The following is a 7,724-nucleotide window of genomic DNA, read 5'->3' as shown; positions in this document are numbered from 1 at the left end:
TGGATTATAGAGCTGGTCACTTTTGAAGTACAAAATCACATGGGCTGAAGTGGAGTATAATTATATACAAGCTATATCTTAAGTATATGTTATTGCAGAATCTCCCCTTGCTGTGGCTTGCTCACCCCAGTCATTGAAATCATCTGTGCCTCTGTGAGGACATATTCCCAGAAGTGCTGTGACGCACATGCTTACCTTAAAAACTTGTGGTTTGGCCAGGCACAGTGGCTCATGCCTGTAATCCCGGCACTTTGGGAGGCTGAGGTGGGCAGATCACCTGAGGTCAGGAGCTCAAGACCAAGCCTGGCCAACATGGTGAAACCCCGTCTCTACTAAAATACAAAAATTAGCTGGGCATGGTTGGTGGGTGCCTATAATTCCAGCTACTTGGGAGGCTGAGGCAAGAGAATTGCTTGAACCCAGGAGGCAGAGGTTGCAGTGGGCAGAGATGGCGCCATTGCACTCCAGCCTGGGCAAAAAAAGTGAAAGTCCGTCTCAAAAAACAACAACAACAACAACAAACTTGTGGGGTTTTTTCTAGGTATATTATTAGTTCAGTCTGCCTTCCAAGTTTGCCCATGAAGAAAGTAGGTAAGTAGGTGAGGGTGGTAAGTTATACATCTTGGATGCTTAATGAAATTTCAGTGATGCCCTTTGGCATATTCCCTCAACTGGGTGTTTCAAAAGTCTCAGTCCAGTTTTAAGTTTTAAATATGTTTCATTGAGCACCTACCAGATTGCTAGATAGAGAATTCCAGATGAACCTTGTGGGCCTGCCATTTATGAGAGAAGCCAAGGAGCTAAGTATAAAGGATAAGGCCACAGGAAGTACAGACTTTGGAAAGGAACAGAGTGGAAGAGAGTAGAGACAGTGGGATAGTACAAAGCTACTCAGGGTATGATGTGGGATCTCCCCCACAATCCTTAAGAATTGCAGTAAAATTGACAAATTTAGAAAATGCTGATTGTATCTGGATTTCTTGTGGAAAATAGCAACACTCATCAGGGTTTGGTACCGGACAGGGTGAAAATAGCATGCACAAATGTCCAAGAGCGTGGAGACACCAAGTATGAATTACCACTTGGAAATCCCTGGAGGATGCTGAGACATGAGCTGCAATTGAGGGTGACCTAAGACAGTATCTGGTCTACAACATCATTAGATAAGATGGATTCCCTTGCTTTTTTGTTTTGTTTTGTTTTTGTTTCCGCTTGATAGTTTGTTTTTTTTTTTTGAGGCGGAGTCTCACTCTGTCGCCCAGGCTAGAGTGCAGTGGCGTGATCTCAGCTCACTGCAACCTCCACCTCCTGGGTTCAAGCGATTCTCCTGCCTCATCCTCCCGAGTAGCTGGAACTACAGGCACACACCACCATGCCTGGCTAATTTTTGTATTTTTAGTAGAGACGGGGTTTCACCATGTTGGCCAGGCTGGTCTCAATCTCCTGACCTCGTGATCTGCCCGCCTCGGCCTTCCAAAGTGCTGGGATTACAGGTGTGAGCCACTGCCTGTCCTCCCCTTGATAGTTTTTCTTAAAGACATTATTGTTTTAGAGCAGTTTTAGGTTCATAGCAAAACTGAGAGGAAGGTACCAAGATATCCCATTTAGCCCCTGCCCCCACATATGCACAGCCTCCCCCATTATCAACAGCCTCTTGAATTTTTACAACAAAGTTGACTAATCTCAGTGGCCATGGCCTTTATTTCATTCTTCATCAAGTCCCAGCTTCTTCATAATATAAACATATATATGAGTGCCTTCTGTGTTCTAGTCACTTTACAGACATGCATTATTTCCTCTACTCAGGCTACCTTATGAAGGAAAGTTTCACAAATGAAGGATCTGAGCTCAGGTAATTTTTTTTCTTTCTAGATGGAGTCTCGCTCTGTCCCCCTAGCTGGAGTACAGTGGTGCAATCTTGGCTCACTGCAACCTCCACCTCCTGGGTTCAAGCAATTCTCGTGCCTCAGCCTCCCATGTAGCTGGGATCACAGGCGTGTGCCACCACACCCGGCTAATTTTTTGTATTTTTAGCAGGAAAGGGGTTTGCCATGTTGCCTAGGCTTGAGCTCAGAGAATTTAAGCAACTTACGCCAGTTTCCACAGCTCATGACTCTATGTTTCTTCCAGTGAACCACACTGCCTCATATGCCTCATTCCATGGTTATTTTCCACATTCACAAGGAATTCCTGACTTTTATTTCTTTCCCCTTAATACTATGCCCAAGACAGTCTCCTTGTCTTGGTCAATTTTCTCTAGCATGGTGAATAGATAGCCTTGTGTAACAGTGTTGTAACCTGACAGGTGCAAAGAGTACAGGTGCCCTGGTTGCTACTACAGAAGGTGAAAAACCATCCTTAGCTCTGCCCACAGGCTCACTAAGTCATAGGGTTCTTGGCATCCCTGAGGCCACCCCAAGCTCTGGAGCATGGAAAATGCTCCCACTATTTAAAGAATAAAACAAAGTTGTTCATACATAGTGTTGACGTCTAGCAGGCAATTCAAGTGCTCTTGATTAACTTGATTAGTCATTTTTATTTAACTTATATGGGTCATGGGGTAGGAGTGATGAGAAATACAGGGCAGTTTCTCTGTGGCTTGATTCTATAAACTTGCACAAGGAATCAAGACAGGAGAAAGGCTAGTTCCAGGACCTTGAACAGAAATTTCTGACCAGGCCTGCCACAGACTCGTTCTAGTCCAGCAGCTTCATTTTATGAAGTGAATTTCAAGGCCCAGGAAGAAAAAAGGTACAGCTAGTTAGTGCAACAGTGGAAATCAGTTCCTACTTTTGCAAAAAGTGCTCTAGGGAATTAAAACGGGTCTCTATTGTCTGCTCTGCCACTGAATGACTGCAATTATGATTCCTGTTCCTTAATTTTTTTCCAAAATGAGCTATGGCAAGAAATAACAGGAGAGGAGCTCTGGGCAAAGGCTACTAAAATGGACTGGCAATGCAACATGTCTGAACAGTCTAGAATTAAAGGTGTGATTTTTAGTACCTTTTTATGGCTGGATTGACCATGTGTCTGGATTGTCAGCTAATGAGAATGCAGCCGAAGCCTTATTGGTGTTCAACCCTGTTTTAGCCACATCTTTTGGTCTCCAGCCCTTGCCTCAAGGTAATGGGAGAACTAGGCAATATTCCCCACTCCTCTCATAAGGCCCCTCTCAAACTCACCTCAGCTCAAAAATAGCACTCGTATATAAAGGCTATGAACAGTAGGCTCTCACTGAGTCCTAATCCCAAGACTGCCAGTGCCAATGCCTAGCGGACTCTGCATCTTTCCTGAAGTAACTAACACAGGCTTTACTAAAAGGGAGACCATTCACCCTTTTTGTTTGTTTGTTTGTTTTGAGACAAAGTCTTTCTTTGTTGCCCAGGCTGTTGCCCAGGAGTGCAGTGGTGTGATCTTGGCTCACTGCAACCTGCAAACCCTCCAGAGTGTAACTTGTGATATAATTGGAAAGAAAGCAAATGTATCTTAAATGATGCAAGAACAACACAAAACAAGATGCCCACTTTTGCAAAAGAAGAAATCTTCCAATTTATAAGATCTGAAGAGATAACAAGCCCAAGGGTAGTCTAAAGCAAATAGGAGTCAAAAGCCTCCCAGAGGTGGGAGACGTGTCTCCTTTTGGAAATTCAGTTGTTTTTTATGGCACCATACAATTTTTCTATACTGGATTATTATTATTATTATTTTTGAGACGGAGTCTCACTGTGTCGCCCAGGCTGGAGAGCAATGGTGGGATCTCGGCTCACTGCAACCTCCGCCTCCCAGGTTCAAGCAATTCTGCTGCCTCAGCCTCCTGAGTAGCTGGGATTATAGGCGCCTGCCACCAGGCCCGGCTAATTTTTGTATTTTTAGTAGAGACGGGGTTTCACCACGTTGGCCAGGCTGGTCTCGAACTCCTGACCTCAGGTGATCTGCTTGCCTGGGCCTCCCAAAATGCTGGGATTACAGGCGTGAACCACTGTGCCTGGCCTTCCATACTGGATTCTTATGTGAGCTGTACCAGTTACATTTTCCACAACCGCATATTATACCACAAACCAGTCTGACCTGCAAGGGAAGTACAAGCATTGGTCCTTTTGCAACGCCCTGCTGCCTAACCAGTTTGTATTTGCAAAAGTGACACATGGCCAGTTTAAGTTGGAGATGTCCTAGGGAAGGGTGGATGGTTGTTGTATGAGGCCTTGCCTAGGGTCCTTTCTGGGCCTACTTAGGGCTTCAGATGCAATGGAGATGACGGATTTTATTTCATCAAATGGTATTAATGTCATTTCTGGATCAGGCATTGTGCTGGCATCCTGAAGAATTCATAGTCTAGGTAGGAGAGAAAGGAAGATATACATGTGGCTAGTGATTACCTAAGATGAATTGTAAAGCAGAATAAGCAACATTCTATGGTGATGGAGCAGGAGTTAATAGTTCTCATGGAAGATCCTGGAAGGTTAGTGGAGGAAGGAGCATTTCCACTGGGCCTTGAAAGATAAGTAGGTATTCCAAAGACAGAGAAGGGCATTATAAATTGAGGAAATCTGTGAACAAAGTTATCAGAGGCATGAGCTTAAGGAAGATCTACTGGCAGCCTGGGTAGGGCAACTGGGGAGAATTCTTTGGGCCTTTTTCTTATGGAGAGGGGATCGGTCAACACTTCACCTTACTCTTCCTGTGAGCATCAATACAATTTAATTTTGAAAATTGTATCTTTAGTTATACTCCAAGGGACCTATGGAAGTTACTGATAGTGTGGCCTCCTTTCAAGGGAGAGTATTTGAGGTAGCCAGTGCTGGTTGAGTTGTCCCAGACCCTGCTCTCTTCTACGGATGGCCAAATGTATTGGGCTAGAGTATAGGGTACATCAGAAGAGGATTGCAGTGCTTTCTTTGGCAGCACATATACTAAAAATGGAACAACATAGAGAAGATTAGCATGGCCCCTGCACAAGGATGACAAACAGATTCATGAAGCATTCCATATTTTTTTAAAAAGAAGAAGAGGGTTGCAGAGATCCTGAGCAAAAAGAACAAAGCTGGAGGCATCACACTGCCTTACTTCAAAGTATACTTTGGTTACAAAGCCATAGTAACCAAAACAGCTTGCTACCAGCATAAATACAAACCTGTAGACCAATGGAACAGAATAGAGAACCCTGGAAAAAGTCCATGCATTTACAGCCAATTCGTTTTTGAAAAAAGATCCCAAGAACATACCTTGGGGAAAGAACAGCCTCTTCAATAAATGGTGCTGGGAAAACTGGATAACCATATGCAAAAGAATGAAACTAGACCCCTACCTCTCACCATATACAAAAATCAAATCAAAAGAAAGACTTAAATCTAAGACCTGAAACTATGACACCACTAGCAAAACATATTGGAGGCTGGGTGCGGTGGCTCACGCCTGTAATCCCAGCACTTTGGGAGGCTGAGGCGGGTGGATCACTTGGGGTCAGGAGTTCAAGACCAGCCTGACCAACATGGTGAAACCCTGTCTCTATTAAAAAAAAAATACAAAAATTAGCCAGGTGTGGTGATGGGTGGCTATAATCCCAGCTACTCGGGAGGCTGAGGCGGGAGAATCGCTTGAACCCAGGAGGTGGAAGTTGCAGTAAGCTGAGATCACACCATTGCACTCCAGCCTGGGCGACAGAGCAAGACTCTGTCTCAAAAAAAAAAAAAAAAAAAACCATATTGGAGAAATGCTTCAGGGCAAAGATTTTTTTGAGTAAGATTGCAAAAGCACAGGCAACAAAAGCAAAAATAGATAAATGGATTACATCAATCTTAAGAGCTTCTGTACAGCAAAGGAAACATTCAACAAAGTGAAGAGACAATCTACAGAATGGGAGAAAATATTTCTACCCATTCATCAACCTCTCTTCAATACACCCTTCTCCCCTCCCCTTCCCAGCCTCTAATAACTACCAATCTACTCTCTATCTTTATGAGATCCACTTTTTTACTCCCACAATGAGTGAGAGCATTGAATATTTGTCTTTCTGTCCTTGGCTTATTTCACTTAAGATAATGACCTCCAGGCTGGGCGTGGTGCCTTACGCCTGTAATCTCAGCACTTTGGGAGGTCAAGGCGGGTGGATCACATGAGGCCAGGAGTTCAAGACCAGCCTGGCCAACATGGGGAAACCCCGTCTCTACTGAAAATATCAAAATTAGCTATGAATGCATGCGCCTGTAGTCCCAGCTACTCGGGAGGCTGAGGTGGGAGGATGGTTTGAGCCCAAGAGGTTGAGGCTGCAGTGAGCCAAGATCCCAAATATCTTTTCTCATTCTGTAGATTGTCTCTTCTCTTCGTTGAATGTTTCCTTTGCTGCACAGAAGCTTCTTAGCTTGATGTAATCCCATTTGTCTGTTTCTGCTTTTGTTGCCCGTGCTTTTGCAGTCTTACCCAAAATATCTTTGCCCTGTCCTGAAGCATTTCCCCAATATGTTTTTCTAGTTGTTTCATAGTTTCAGAAGGAATGAGAGCTAGTATTCGATACTTCAGTAGGGTAACTATAGTTTACAGTAATTTATTGTATATTTCAAAATAGGTAGAAGAGAAAAATTGGAATGTTCTCAGTATAAAGAAAAGACAAACTTATTTTTTTTTTTTTTTTTGAGATGGAGTCTCACTCTGTGGCCCAGGCTGGAGTGCAGTGGCGTGATCTCGGCTCACTGCAAGCTTCATCTCCCGGGTTCACACCACTCTCCTGCCTCAGCCTCCCTAGTAGCTGGGACTCCAGGTGCCTGCCACCACGCCTGGCTAATTTTTTTATATTTTTTAGTAGAGACGGGGTTTCACTGTTAGCCAGGATGGTCTCGATCTCCTGACCTCGTGATCCGCCTTGGCCTCCCAGAGTGCTGGGATTACAGGCTTGAGCCACCGTGCCCGGCCAGAAAAGACAAACTTCTGAGGTGATGGGTATCCTAATTACTCTGATTTGATTGTTACACATTATATGAAGATATCAAAATATCACCTGAACTCCGAAAATATGTACAACCTCTATTTTTCTTTTCTTTTTTTTTTTTTTTCAGAGAGCATCTGACTGTCACCCAGGCTGGAGTGCAGTGGCACAATGATATTGGCTCACTGCAGCCTTGTACCTCCCAGATTCAAGCGATTCTCATGCCTCAGCCTCCAGAGTAGCTGGGACTACAGGCATGCACCACCACACCTGGCTAATTTTTGTATTTTTAGTAGAGATGGGTTTTGCCATATTGGCCAGGCTGGTCTCGAACTCCTGGCTTCAAGTGACCTGCCCACCTCAACCTCGCAAAGTGCTGGAATTACAGGCGTGAGCCACGGCGCCTGGCTAATTTTTGTATGTTTAGTAGAGATGGAGTTTCAGCATGTTGCCCAGGCTGGTCTTGAACTCCTGACCTCAAGGGATCTGCCTGCCTTGGCCCACTTTATATACCATGCTAAGGTGTCGTAGGTACTGTTGAGACTGAAAGATTTTAAGGAGAAAAGTAACGTGGTCATGTGTACATCTTAGATCGATACCTCTGGCTGCTTTCTGGGAGATGGTTTAGACTGAGGTAAGAGTGGAAGCAGAGTTCAAACAGGAGGCTACTGAAGGAGTCCAAGCAAAAAGTCATGGGGCCTAAACAGGTTCTGAGGATGGGGTGGAGCCTGAGGCGGTCAACAAGACATGTCTCGGAAGTATGAATAGAAGCCACTAGCCTTGAGTACTCACTGGGTGCGTGTGT

The 7,724-nt window shown here is 44.4% G+C and overlaps 1 pseudogene; it reads left to right on the top strand.

Moving 5' to 3' along the window:
* RNU6-616P (RNA, U6 small nuclear 616, pseudogene) lies at nucleotides 4,887-4,993 on the top strand (annotated as a pseudogene).

This window comes from Homo sapiens, chromosome X (genome assembly GCF_000001405.40).
Source record: "Homo sapiens chromosome X, GRCh38.p14 Primary Assembly".
Taxonomy (NCBI): domain Eukaryota; kingdom Metazoa; phylum Chordata; class Mammalia; order Primates; family Hominidae; genus Homo; species Homo sapiens.
This window is presented reverse-complemented; position numbering and strand designations above follow the sequence as displayed.